This window comes from Homo sapiens, chromosome 16 (assembly GCF_000001405.40).
Source record: "Homo sapiens chromosome 16, GRCh38.p14 Primary Assembly".
Lineage (NCBI taxonomy): Eukaryota > Metazoa > Chordata > Mammalia > Primates > Hominidae > Homo > Homo sapiens.
In genome coordinates this window covers 15248104-15263366 of record NC_000016.10, presented here as the reverse complement: position 1 = coordinate 15263366, position 15263 = coordinate 15248104, and positions in this window count along the sequence as shown.

The following is a 15263-nucleotide window of genomic DNA, read 5'->3' as shown; positions in this document are numbered from 1 at the left end:
ACTTCTATCCCCATAAGGGACATTTGGCAATGTCTGGAGACATTTTTGATTGTCACAACTAGGGCATACTGTGCTACTGTCATCCAGTACGTAGAGGCCATGGATGCTGCTAAACATCCTACAAGGCACAGGGCTGTCCCCAGACTCCCCAGTAAAGGACGATCAGGTCCAAAATGTCAGTGGTGTTGAGGCTGACCTAGGGTAGGGGGCTCTAATATCTCTATTTTATATGTGAGGAAACGGAAGCATGGTGAGGTTGGGTAATCCTGTGTGAGGTCCTGCAGCTGGTAGGCAACGGAGGTGGGGTATAGACCAAGTGAGTCTGGCTCTAGAGTCCTTGCTTTTAACCACCATACATGATTGCTTCTCAGAAGTGGAAAACGCTGAGACAGGCACAGCTTTTTATACCTTCACTCACTTATGTTACGGCGAGGGTGACCAGCTGTCTTGGTTTGCCCAGGCCCGAGCGGATTCCCAGAGTGTGGGACTTGCAGTGCTCAAGCCAGGATGGATAGTCACCCTAGAAACCTCCAGACTCTGTAGACATCTGTGTTTGTGATCTGATTGTTACTTTCAGTCTGTTGAGTTCATATTACTGATGTAAGAGTTAAGAAGAAATTATTTAGGCAGATAGTGAGGGTAAGGAAGTCCTCAGTAAGGTTTTCCTTTTAATGAAAAGCAGTCCCCAAATCATTTTTCTTTTCTAACGGAGAGCATCCTGTAAAATCAAGCTGCAGACATAGGCAAGCAAGCTGGAAGCTTGCACGGGTGAATGCCGGCAGCTCCGCCCATAAGAAAAGGCTAGCTGGGGCTAGGCACGTCCAACACGGCAGCTCCATCTTCCCTTCTCTTTGCCAGCCATGTGTACAGTAAGGAGCAGGCAACAAGGAGCCAGCCAGGCAAAGACCCCATTTGCATAATAACACTAGGGTGGGGCGGCCAACTTCCCCATGCGCTATGTAAATGTCACACCTGGTGCAACCAATCTTTGGGCCCTAGTAAATCAGGCACCGCCTCCCCAACCGTGTAAAATCTGGTGCACTCTGACTTGGGCCAGAAGTCCCACTGGGTGCCCCCCTCTCGGAAGAGAGACAGCGTTCTCCTTTCTCATTCTTTTGCCTATTAAACCTCTGCTTTTAAACTCACTCTTTGTGTGTGTCTGTGTCCTTAATGTTTTTGGTATGAGGCAACGAATCTCGGGTATTACCCCCGAGAGAATGACGCTGCTTCACTCTGTGCTAATCACAATCGACACAAGGGCCGAATCCCAGTCTCAAGTTCACCTACGATGACTTTATCATCCACATGGCTCAAAGCTGTGGTCAAGTTTCCTCCTGTTTTGAAAATATGTGCTATGCTCCAGTTAAGTCAGCACAGCTCTAGGTAGATCAAAATTCATCTTTGGAGGATTTCTGAAATTCACTTGAGGAGTAGATCAGTTGGGGATGGTGTGATGGAGGAAAAAGAAAATCCCAAGGTTTGATGGCAAGGTTAGAGTGACCTTCTGACCTTGAGCAAATGGCTTAAGCTGTCTGGGCCTTGATGTCCTCGTTTATAAAATGAGTCCGTAATAAAAGCCACAATGATGAGCATCAGGCACTGTGCTGAGTGTTTGCCATCTAAGGGGTTATCTGGTTATCTCATTTAATCATCACAACCACGGGAGGGGAAGCTCCTGGGGTTAAGTGTCTCGCCCAAGGTTGCAGCTGGTGGGGAATAGTCTGGTTGCAAACCCAGAGACCACACTTTTAACTGCTATGGAATGTTGTCTCCCGTGGCTGTTTCTGAGGAGATAGAAAAACATGCCAATTAGGGCCAAAAAAACGGGAGGTGGCCTCAAGGGCAGTGCATTACATTAAGAGTGTTTGCAAAGGTGTGGGTGTTTCTCCACCCCCGAGTCGCTGCTGACTTCCCGACACCTACACGCAGGGTCACCCTGCAGCTTCTGAGCACCTGGCCGGCTCCCCCCAGCAATGTGTGTTTGATGTTATCAGTGGGTTTGAGGCACGGCTGAGGCCCCAGGAATCTTTCTCTTTCATGGAGAAGCCAAGCTCACATCTCCCAGTGGCAGCTGGTGCTGGCGTCTGGCTGGAGTTGCAGGGACTATGTGTCAGCTCTAGCAGTTCCTGCGACTGTATTCACCTACTGAAGGTCCTTGATCTATTGCTGGGGTTTGCCAAGGGTCTCAGGGGTCTGCTGCGGAGCAGAGAGACTGATTATTATTTTTTAAATCTCCAGTTGACCCCCTTGTTCTCACGTTAATCACTTTGAGAATAAAAATGGCTACCAATAATTGAGCACTTACTACGTGCCAGGCACAGGCACATCCTATGCCTCCCTCCCTCCTCCTCCGGGGCTGCTGGCTCTCCTTATCCTTTTTATTTTTGCTTTTTTCTCCACAGCTAGTAACTGTGTTCTAAACACCAATAAGAGGGCCTGGCAAATGTGGTTACTCAATAACATTTATTGAATGAATGGGTGTGAGCGAGTGTGTGTTAGGCTCCCTGCTAAGCCCATTACGTGTATTATTTTACTCAACTCTCACAGTAATCCTATGAGATAAGCTTCATCTTTATCTCCATGTTACAAAGGAGAAAATGTGCTCAGAGATGTCAAGTAATTTCCCCCAAAATGCACAGCTTGTGTCAACGCAAGAATGCAAATTTAGCAGTCTCCAAATTCTACCCCATTTACTATCTCCCAAATAGATATGTATAAATATCCCACATATGGAGATACATTTTAAGGATTTATACGTATCTATTTCCATGTAACACGGCCACACATATGTATCCTATATAATATGCACATGTATAGTATGTGCACATATTCACGTGTAAATGTATCAGTTACCTGTAGCTGTGTAACAAGTAACACCACCCTCATGGTTATAAAAATAAACACTTATTTTTTGCTCATAGGTCTGTGGTTTAGCTGGAGAGATTCTGCTTTAGGCTGTGGGTTGAGTTCAAGTCTGATTCTTACATTTATTTCTGAGGTCCAGATTGGAGAAGCAGTGGTACCTGGTGAAGGTTGGCAGCTTCCAGAGAGGAGTGAGCAGAAATACTCAATGCCTTTTAAGGCCTAAGCTGGGAACTGGTGCACCGTCAGCTCTGCTCATGTTCCATTGGCCAAAACAAACCCATCACTAACAGGGCAGAGGATTCTGTTCTTCCCATGGTGAAGGGAATGAGAGGGAAGTAAATATTTGTTAAACAGGAAAACATACCACTATCATATTTTAATTATATATGGATGTATTTGTATTTTATCTTTTTTTTTGAGATGGAGTTTCGCACTTGTCACCCAGGCTGGAGTGCAATGGCACGTTCACGGCTCACTGCAACCTCTACCTCCTGGGTTCAAGCAATTCTCCTGCCTCAGCCTCCCGAGTAGCTGGGATTACAGGCACCTGCCACCATACCCAGCTTTTTTTTTTTTTTTTTTTTTTTTTTGTATTTTTTTTTTTACTAGAGATGAGGTTTCACCATGTTGGCCAGGCTGGTCTTGAACTCCTGACCTCAGGTGATCCACCTGCCTCTGCCTCCCAAAGTGCTGGGATTACAGGCATAAGCCTCGGCGCCCAGCCTATATTTATCTTTTTCACCCATGACCCCAGCTTCAGTGAGGAGTTCTGTTACTTTGTACTTTTACTGGGCATTCGTTTCCTTGTTTGGAAAATAGTGACTATAATTAATAAAAGTGTTTGTATTCTTGCAAATTGCTAAGAGAGTAAATTTGAAGCATCCCCACCACTTGTTAATTAGCTTGATTTCACCAGTCCGCAATGTATACATATTTCAAAACATCAGGTTGTACACAATAATTATAGACAATTTTTGTTTGTCAATTCAAAAAGTAATAAGTAAAGGAAAAGAAAAATGTAAGATACTTTAAAAAATGACTGGCTCGTGTTGAGAAGTAACTTTTACTATTTATTTGTTTTTTGTTTGTTGGTTGGTTGGTTTTTGTTTTTTTTTTTTGAGACGGAGTTTCGCTCTTGTTGCCCAGGCTGGAGTGCAGTGGCACGATCTTGGCTTACTGCAATTTCTGTCTCCCGGGGTTCAAGCAATTCTCCTGTCTCAGCCTCCTGAGTAGCTGGCATTACAGATGCCCACCACCATACCTGGCTAATTTTTTGTATTTTTAGTAGAGACAGGGTTTTGCCACTTTGGCCAGACTGGTCTCAGACTCCTGGCCTCAGGTGATCCACCTGCCTTGGCCTCCCAAAGTGCTGGGATTACAGGCATGAGCCACCGTGCCCAGCCTAACTTGTACTATTTATTTGAGTTAAGCCAACACACACTTGAGTTCCCCACATGTCATAGAGTGATGTGGACAAGCCCTTGAAATCTGGCTTTCCTGATTACCTGGTTGACCTTGTAGATGCCTCTCTGAGCCTCAGATATGTTCTCTGTGAAATGGGCATGAAACCAGTACCCACTTTGTAGAGCACTGTGAGGATTAAGTGAGAGGATACGTGCAAAAGTTTACCACAGTGCCTGGCTCCAGAAGCCACTCAATATATATTTGCTGTTGTTATTAATATTGATACTATTCTTACAACAAAAACAGCACAGATGTTCTAATGATCAATTATCCTAGCCTGTCGTCTGCTGGTCCCCAGCCCATGTTTCTCGGACCCTGTCTGTGTGTGATTTATGATCCGACTCTCTCTACACTTTGTGTTGGGGTTTGATTTTTCCTGCTTTGGCTCAAGACCCCCTTCCTACAGAAATGTTTGGACCCATCTTACAGACTTGTGCCTCCTTGGCTGTCCTGCCTGGTCAGCCCCTTGGAACACAGGGTTGGCCCTAAGTTGGTCCTCCCATCCCAGCAAAATGGTTCACTGGGGCATTGCAGGTTGATTGTGGAATTTCAACAATAGCATGGGTGGTGGGAAAACCTTCGGACATCCACAGACAGCAGCCTGGATGTATAAGAGATGGGGGTGGTGTTCTTTCCATCTGGAGTCCTCCGGGAGCTGTCAAGCCTGGAATCTTTGCAATTTAGGCAGTCTGTTTGTAATGGTCTCAAGAAAACCCATTCTGCCTACAAACGCGGTGACCTTTAATTTTTTTTTCTCAGATTTTTCCAAGATGCACATTGACTCTTCCTGTCAACGTGGAAGGCTCTAATGCCGCCTGGGGCATTTAGATTGCATTTGCCAATCGCTGACTGCTGTAGCCAATTTGTTCCTGATCTCAAGGTCGATTTTGAATAACTTTAGCTGGGCTAAGTCTCTTGCATTGAATAACTGGGAAACAACCTATTAAGGTAGCAGGCGGGCGGGGGCAGGAGGGGGCAGGGGGCTGTTTCTATTTTGTAGAAGTTCTTTGATTTTGGATAAATGAGAAGGCTTCTAGCTCTGCCAGTCATGGACTATGTGGCCTTGAACAAGGGAGGGAAAGAAAGAAACACATGCCAAGTACCTAGCATATGCTAGACACAGTGCTGGGCACTTCACACATGCCAGCTGCTTAATCTACTCTGCGAGGTGAACATCGTGATCTCCATGTTACAGATAAAGAAACGGAGTCTCGGCAACTTGCAGGGTTGAGCTTGGATCTGTCTAAAGCCCCGCCCCTCCCCCTTTTTTTGTTTGTTTGAGACGGAGTCTTGCTATGTTGCCCAGGCTGGTGTGCAACAGTGCAATGATCTTGGCTCACTGCAACCTCCGCCTGCCAGGTTCAAGCAATTCTCCTGCCTCAGCCTCCCGAGCAGCTTGGGATTACAGGCACGTGCCACCATGCCCAGCTAATTTTTTATATTTTTTGTATAGACGAGGTTTCACCATGCTGGCCAGGTTGGTCTCCAACTCCTGACCTCGTGAGCCGCCCGCCTCGGCCTCCCAAAGTGCTGGGATTACAGGCGTGAGCCACCGCGCCCGGCCGATGATGCTCTTTTTAAACTACCCTTATGAGTGTATTTCAGCAACCTCCCCCGACCCGAATTACAGTACCACCGGCTGCGTCCTAATGCTGTGCCCTCTCCTGATATGGTCTGGCTGTATCCCCATCCAAACTCACCTTGAATTGTAATAATCCCCACGTGTCAAGGGCGGGGCCAGGTGGAGATAATTAAAACATGGGGGCAGTTTCCGCATACGGTTCTCATGGTAGTGAGTAAGTCTCACGAGATCTGATGGTTTTATAAATGGGAGTTCCGCTGCGCAAGCTCTCTTGCCTGCCGCTGTGTAGCATGTGACTTCGCTGTTCTCTGGCCTTCCACCATGATTGTGAGACCTCCTCAGCCTTGTGGAACTGTGAGTCCATTCAACCTCTTTCCTTTGTAAATTACTCAGTCTCGGGTAGGTCTTTATTAGCAGCGTGAGAACAAATAAACCTCCTGTCATCTTCTCTCCTTGGATTCACTCCTCTAGTCTGAGATGTCTGGTTCGCCTTGTTTCCCCAGCGGTGGGCTCATGCCGGCAGGGGTTGGCATCAGCAACTGTTCTTTGATCCCATGACTCTGATTTTGAGATGAGCCTGGTGCAGCTTGGTGGTTTCACGTGGGGCCCTTTGGAAGGAGAAAACCTGGTCCGAATCCCTGCAAGTTGTGTGACGGGTTGGGTTCCTTGGAAGCCCGAGAATGAGATTTGGGTAGGTGCGGTTTATTCAAGGTGGGGGTTCTCAGGAGAAGGAAAGTGAGGGAAGGAGGATGATGGGGGAGGGGACAGAGCCAAGCAAGAATGGGCTCTCAGGCTGAGGCTAGCCTTGATCTCACGTGGGTCTCTGGAGTGTATTCTGCCTTGAAGCAGGAGGACTGGACTTTTGTGTGACTCCTCTCGCCTCATATCGCTTAGTCATTGGCCAGTTCAGCATGTGAGAGCATAACTCCCTGGGTGAAATGGCTTTTGCTAGCTAAGGAATTCTCCGGAGAAAGTATTGGTATAAGCCATTAGGCACAGATCAGCAAAGGCTGAATGATGAGTGGTTTACTGGCAATGAGGATCTGGGTGAAGCACCAGGAACAGCTGCGACGTTGTGCAACTGCTCTGCCTCAGTTTTCCTCATCTGTAAAATGGGGATGCTGATAAAACCCATCTCTGAGCGTTGATGCAAGGGTTAGATGAGATACTTGCATTTGTGTTACTGATAATGTGCCTGTCACTGGCCAGGTGCAAAGCAAGGGCTCAACGAAAGCATAAGCTATTATTATTATTATTATTATTGTTATTACTGGCAGTTTTGGATCCATAGCAACAAGCACATATAAACAATGCTCACTTCTTCTCTAGTTTAATTCTTATAACTCTTCTGAGATAAGTTCTACTTCTACCCTGTTTTACAGACATGGAAACTGAGGCACAGTGAGGTGAAGCACTTTGAGCTCACATGATGGGGCTGAGATTCCAATTTAGGGAGTCCAGTCCCAGAGCCCCCAAGTGAGTGCTGGTTTGGGACTGTCTCTTCTGATCATGACAAATCTTTTTTTTGAGATCACTCTCAGTTCCTTGAATGTATCCATCTTCTCTGTTGTTTCTGGGTCTTTGTATATTCTATTCTCTGTGCTGGCAACAGCTTTTCCGCTTTAACCTGATCTGCCCTGGTTCATCCCTTGAGACTGAGCTCTGAGCTCATATTTGGCCTTTTTTTTTTTTTTTTTGAGACAAGGTCTCACCCTGTCACCCAGGCTGGAGTGCAGTGGTGCAATCGTGACTCACTGCAGCCTCAACCTCCCAGGCTCAAGTGATCCTCCCACCTCAGCCTCCCGAGTAGCTGGGACTACAATTGCATGCTACCATGCCCAGCTAACTTGTGTACTTTTTGTAGAGATGAGGTTTCGTCATATTACCCAGGCTGGCCTCGAACTCTCAGGATCAAGTGATCTGCCTGCCTCAACCTCCCAAAGTGCTGGGATTACAGGTATGAGCCACGGCGCTTGGCCCATGTTTGGCCTTTTCCAGGAAGCCCTCCAGGTTGCCTCCTTCCACAGCCCCTTGTCTGTTCCCCAAAGTGTCTGTTAGGATGTATTACACTTGCCTAGTCACTTGTCTGCCTCTCCCATTAGTCTATGGCTCCAAAGAATTGAATATTTTGCCTGTCTCTATCATTGTCACCCCTGCAAGTAGCATTTGTCTGGCACATAGTAGGTACTCAATAAATGTTTATTTTGTGGCTGAATGAGCATTCCAGATTCAGAACTGGAAACATTGGAGGCTTACAAAAGTTCAGAACCGCATACATTGGAGGCTTACAAAAGTTCCTGTTGAGTTGAATTAATTCATTTTGAAATGACATGGACTAAGTTCTTTCTGGGAAGGTTTCCTAACTAAATCCGTGGGCATGGTGGACTGGAGCGTTCCAGAACCAGTGCAAAGAGTCCCCTGTCCATAGGCATGAGATGAAGGCTCAGGGACTTAAAATACACTTCTATTGTGGAAAGTTCTTCAGAGACCCTTCTGGCATTTTATTTAATTGATGCTCGGCTCATTTATTTTATTATTTTATTTTTATTTTTTAATTTTTTTATTTTTTTTTTGAGACGGAGTCTTGCTCTGTCACTCAGGCTGGAGTGCAGTGGCGCAATCTCGGCTCACTGCAACCTCTGCCTCCCAGGTTCAAGCAATTCTCTGCCTCAGCCTCCCGAGTAGCTGGGATTATAGGCAAGTGCCACCATGCCCAGCTAATTTTTGTATTTTTAGTAGAGACGGGGTTTCACCATCTTGGCCAGGCTGGTCTTGAACTCCTGACCTCGTGATCTGCCTGCCTCGACCTCCCAAAGTGCTGGAATTACAGGCGTGAGCCACGGCGCCCAGCCATTTTTATTTTTTTTTTTTTGAGATGGAATGTCACTCTGTCACCTAGGCTGGAGTACAGTGGCGCAATCTCGGCTCACTGCAGCCCCCACCTCCCCGGTTCAAACGATTCTCCTGCCTCAGCCTCCCAAATAGCTGGAACTACAGGCACACACCCACACACCACCACACCTGGCTAATTTTTGTATTTTTGGTAGAGACGGGGTTTCACCATGTTGCCCAGGCTAGTTTTGAACTCCTGACCTCAGGTGATCTGCCCACCTTGGCCTCTCGAAGTGCTGGGATTACAGGCATGAGCCACCACGCCTGGCCCAGTTAATTTATTTTATGTAATGAATGTATTTCTTTTCATTAGGAAAGTATGAGAATCACGTTGCTGAAAATGTGGGAAACCTAGAAAAGTAGAGAAACCCACCCACTATCATTTGGTAGTAAATTTCTTCAGATTTTTCTCCTCCCATATATGTTTTTCTCTTTCTTTATTAAACATACTTATGACCATACTATTAATATAGTTTAGTATCCTGCTACTTTTTTTCCGTTTAGCAAAATGAGATTTTTCCAGGTTTAATTACATAGTTTTAAAAATAACCATCATCATTTTGTTCTTATTTTTTTCCCTTTTGAATTTAAAAAAAAAAATCATAGTAATATGAGCACATCGTACAAAGTTAAAGTACAGAGGAGCTGCTAATGAAAGCAGCGGTTCCTGGCCCCTTCTCTCCTCTCTCCCCTCCTTAAGTCTTATTTCCCGGAGGCAAGTGCTTGAAATGTTGTTTCCATTTTTAGGTCTTCGGTTATTTATCTCTGTAACTCCAAATAAGATGCTTATGTGGCTGTTTCTTGATTTATCAATTTAAGACATTTTCTATTGACTCTGTGCCATAGAAGATGAGGATTCAGCTTATTGACATGGTTCCTCCCCACTTTTTGTCCTTCCCCAGTTTTTATTTGAAAAAAGTCAGACGTGCACATGGCAAATGATGACCGGAGGATGAAGGAGCCCCTCTTACTCTAATGCTTCAGTCTTCCACCCACCCCTCCTCCCAGTTTCTTGTGTATCTGTGGCAGGTCAAAGATGAGTGCAAACTGTTTGATACCCCATGCATTCAGAAATGGGGTCTATTTCCCTTTTCCTGAGCCTGGGCTGGCCTGTGACTGCTTTGACGAATAGATTGCCATAGAAGTGACACCATGATGGTTCTGGTCCTGGCATTTAAGGGATCATGCAGTTTCTGCCTTACACCTCTTGGAACTCTTGGTTTTAAACCCCTGAGCCACTGTGTGAGAAATCTGAGGGCTTTTGCTGGAGGGAAACCTGGAGAGACTCTGAGATGACATGGAAAGGGAGAGAAGTTGCTCTGAGCCCAGCTTCCATCCTGTCCCACTGATATGATTTGGCTGTGTCCCCATCCAAATCTCATCTTGAATTCTCACATGTTGTGAGAGGGACCCGGTGGGAGGTAATTGAATCATGGGGGTGGGTCTTTCTCATGCTATTCTCATGATAGTAAGTCTCATGAGATCTGATGGTTTTATAACAGGGAGTTTCCCTGCACAAGCTCTCTTTTTGCCTGCTGCCATCCATGTAAGACGTGACTTGCTCCTCCTTGCCTTCCACCATGATTGCGAGGCTCCCCAGCCATGTGGAACTCTGAGTCCATTAAACCTCTTTCCTGTAAAAATGACCCAGTCTCAGGTATGTCTTTATTAAGAGCATGAAAATGGACTAATACACCCACCAAGGTGCCTGGCACATCACTAAAACTGCACTAGACCCTTCAGAGCAGCCCCGAAGCCCTCTGAATACTACTGAGTGACCTCAGATGATACTGTGTGAGCAGAAGAACTGCCCAGCTGGGTCCTGCTTGAATTCCTGACCCTCAAAATCATGATCTATAATAAAAACAGTTGTGGCTTTAAGCCATAATGTTTGGGGATTAACTTGAATGGCATCCTTCAGGAGATACCCCATGTGTCATAGGTTTTGGGGATGGAGGTTATCTTAGCCTACCAACAGTGCCTGATACAAATATGTGAATGTTTCATTGGGTCACGCAATCTCAAGAAAGCAGGGATAAGGGAAAGAGAGAAAGAGGAAGAGCAAAACCAAAGAAGTGCATATTGCCTAGTGGAGTTGCAGTTTCCCAGAAACACAAGCATGGGATAACTCTGGAGTCAGTCATCTGCCAGCTCCTGCTGTTTCCTGTCTCTTATTGGTCAAAGCTTGCTCCACTCTGCACTTCTGAGTAATGGCCCTCAGCCCCTCCTAGCAGCTTCTGGGGGATCCAGGACCTCTGGGAGCTGATAGGTGTGATAGAGGCCAGCCCTTAACCCCACCCAGGGTAGGCTGAGTCACTTTTATTTTATTGTAAAATTGATATTTATTTACTTATTATTTTAAGGTAATTTTTTTTGAGACAGGATCGTGCTCTGTTGCCCAGGCTGGAGTACAGTGGCACAGTCATAGCTCACTGCAACCTCAAACTACTGGGCTCATGTGATCCTCCTGCCTCAGCCTCCTGAGTAGCTGGGACTACAGGTATGCACCACCATGCATGGCTAGTTTTTAAAAAGTTTTTTTGGAGGGATGGGGTTTTGCTTTGTTTCCCAGGCTAGTCTCAAACTCTTGACCTCAAGAGATCCTCCTGCTTCAGCCTCTCAAATTGCTGAGATTACAGGCATAAGCCACTATGCCTGGCCTCTATTATTATTATTTTGAGACAGAGTCTCACTCTGTTGCCCAGGCTGGAGTACATCGGTGCAGTCTTGGCTCACTGCAACCTCTGCCTCCTGGGTTCAAACAATTCTTGTGCCTCAGCCTCCGAGTAGCTGGGACTACAGGTGTGTGCCATCATGACTGGCTAATTTTTGTGTTTTTAGTAGAGATGGGGTTTCGCCATGTTGGCCAGGTTGGTCTTGAACTCCTGACCTCAAGTATCCACCTGCCTCGGCCTCCCGAAGTGCTAGGATAACAGGTGTCGGTCACAGCTCCTGGCCACTGGCTTCTATTTTTTTATTTTTTGAGACGGAGTCTAGCTCTTGTTGCCCAGGCTGGGGTTCAGTGGCGCGATCTCGGCTCACTGCAACCTCTCAAGTTCAAGAGATTCTCCAGCCTCAGCCTCCCGAGTAGCTGGGATTACAGGCACGCACCGCCACGCCCAGCTAATTTTTGTATTTTCAGTAGAGACAGGTTTCACCATGTTGGCAGGATGGTCTCGATCTCCTGACCTCATGATCCACCCACCTTGGCCTCCCAAAGTGCTGGGATTACAGGCGTGGGCCATGGCACCTGGCCCAGCCTCTATTTTTAAAGTAACTTTTATGGGATGTCAGACATTGTAAATTTTACCTTGGTGGGTGCTGGATGTTTTTGTGCCTGGCACAGTCCTAGGTGCTGAGGACCTAGCATTGAACAAAAACAAAGATCCCTGCTCTTGCTGAACTTCCATGCTACTGTGGGGAGACAATCAGTGAACAACAAGCATAATTTAGGTTTGCTCTTATTATACTGTTGCACACGTACCTTTTGTATATGTACTCTTAAACGGCCATTGTTTTTAGTGATTTGATTGAACAAATATATTTGATTGAACAGATATATCCTTGCTGAATGAGCCATTTCTCTATTGATGGGTAATTATATTACTTTCTCTAGTAAGAGTCATCAGAAGCTTAGAGGCTTAAGAATCTAAGCTCAACAAACAGAGGTTGGAGAGGTTATTATAAAGTCCATTGTGAGAGCAGCCACTCCTAACCTTGGGACCAAAGATTGGTATTGCGTGACCTGTGAGCCAGAATTACCCTGGATTGGACTGTCCTACCAGGTGGGCCCCTGGCCAGCAAAAGAGATGATGGGGGTTGTTAGAATGTCAGAGAGGGCCTTAGACACCCCTCTTCCATATAGTCTCCAGCTCTTTGACTAAAACCTGTACCCCAGTATATAATCAGTCACCCAGGCCTAGAGTCAAGGTCTTTTATATCATGTAAATTTATTTTTTATTTTTAAAATTTTTTATTTCCATAGGGTTTTGGGGAACAGGTGGTATTTGGTTATGTGAGTAAGTTCTTTAATAGTGATTTGTGAGATTTTGGTGCAGCCATTATCTGAGCAGTACACACTGAACCCAATTTGTAGTCTTTTATCCCTCACCCCCTCCCACCCTTTCCCCCGAGTCCCCAGAGTCCATTGTATCATTCTTATGCCTTTGCATCCTCATAGCTTAGCTCCCACTTGTGAGTGAGAACATACGACGTTTGGTTTTCCATTCCTGAGTTACTTCACCTAGAATAATAATCTCCAGTTCCATCCAGGTTGCTGTGAATGCCATTAATTCATTCCTTATTATGGCTGAGTAGTATAAATATACTGCTGGTATATGGCATATATATACCACAGTTTCTTTATCCACTCGTTGATTGATAGGCATTTGAGCTGGTTTCATATTTTTGCAGTTGTGAATTGTGCTGCTATAAACATGCATGTGCAAGTATCTTTCTCATATAATGATTTCTTTTCCTCAGGGTAGATACCCAGTAGTGGGATTGCCAGATCAAATGGTGGTGCTACTTTTCTTTAAGGAATCTCCACACTGTCTTCCAAGGTGGTTGTACTAGTTTACATTCCCGCCAGCAGTGTAGAAGTGTTCCCTTTTCACCACCTCCATGCCAACATCTATTATGTTTTGATTTTTTGATTCTGGTCATTCTTGCAGGAGTAAGGCGGTATCGCATTGTGGTTTTGATTTGCGTTTCCCTGATCATTAGTGATGTTGAGCATTTTTTCACATGTTTGTTGGCCATTTGTTTATCTTCTTTTGAAAATTGTCTATTCATGTGGATTTATACCTTCCCCGTATTCCCATGCCTTTGTCTTCAATGGGACTATTATTTTTTGTCTAATGGCTTTGAATTAAATCTTCTGTCTTCTATTCCACTGATCTCCAGTCTCCAGCAATAATTATGCTGTTTGCATTGGGGAAGGTGGCAGATGTAGTTGTTGCCTTGCCTATGTCCTCTGGCATAGGAACTCACCATTCCTACTGCAAGCATCTGCAATACTGCCTGGGGCTTTGTCTCACTGCCATAACCTAGGCTCTTGTGGGGCAGGCTGGAAGTGCAGAGAAACCAACACAGGCACATCTCCCCCAGCCAGCTGCTGAGGGCAGTTGCCCTGCCTTCCATACCTTAGGGTGAGGCAGGCGCTATGCTGTCTCCCAGATGTCCCCAGTGGGATTGAACCCCAGTTGCCCATAGTAGCAGCCTGCTTATAAACATGACCTGGATTAGCTCCTTTCCCTTCTCTGTCTCATTTCCCTATTGTCATCCCAGTGTTTCCTGGGCTCACTTTCCAAATCAACCCACTTATCTTCAAGTCCTTCTGTATTAGTCTGTTCTCATGCTGCTAATAAAGACATGCCTGAGACTGGGTCATTTATAAAGGAAAGAGGTTTAATGGACTCACAGTTCTGCATGGCTGGAAAGGCCTCACAATCATGGTGGAAGACAAGAAGGAGCAAAGCCACATCTTACACGGCAGCAGGCAAGAGGCTTGTGCAGGGGAACTCCCATTTATAAAACCATCAGATCTCATGAGACTTACTATCAGGAGAACAGTATGGGGGAAACCACCCCTATGATTCAATTATCTCCACCTGCCCCCGCCCTTGACACATGGAGATTGTTACAATTCAAGGTGAGATCTGGGTAGGGACGCAGCCAAACCGTCTCACCTTCTCTTAGGATTTGTTTCTGGGGAAACCTAACCTATCTAAGATGATGAAAAATACAAAGAACCAGGAAAATCCATAAATAGATTTAACAAGAAAATTTTACCTAGTCTTGATGAGTGGCAAAGCTTGACTGCCCTGAGGAAGTGACTTTGCTGAGCTGAGACCTGAGGATGGGTAGGAGTTAGCTAAGCAAAGCAGCAGTGGAAGAACAGCAGGGGAAGAACATTCCAAGCATAGGGAAGAGCATGTGCGAAGGTCCTGGGGCAGGAATGCTAGTGTGGATGGGGTGCAGAAAGAGAGGCAGAGAATGGTGGTTATCTTTGGAGGATATATGGCCTGAAAGTGAATTTGGGTCCCTGACTTTAAGTCTCTTTCCTCTGCAGTTTAATTATGTCTATACACTTTTTTTTGAACCCCATTATGGTCTGGCTTCATTTAAATGCATCTGAAATGAAATCTCTAATGTTAACAGTGTTGTCAGATGTGAAGGCTTCATTTCTCTTTGGTTCTTTTTCACCGAATGCTATCTGTGAGTTTCTGGGGAGGATATGAGGATTTTGATTGTTTTGATTTTTTTTTTTTTTTGTATGACCACATTATGTTAATTTCCCCATTGTCTTAGAGTATGAGAACATAAAAGCAATAACTCATTTATATGAAGACTGAATGTGCTGAGAGGTTGTCATGGAAACCTCTCATGTTGGCTTGAGTAAATTGAATAACCCCTGTTAAAAGACTGAACACAGATAACTGGCAGGCTTTGTTTCAGG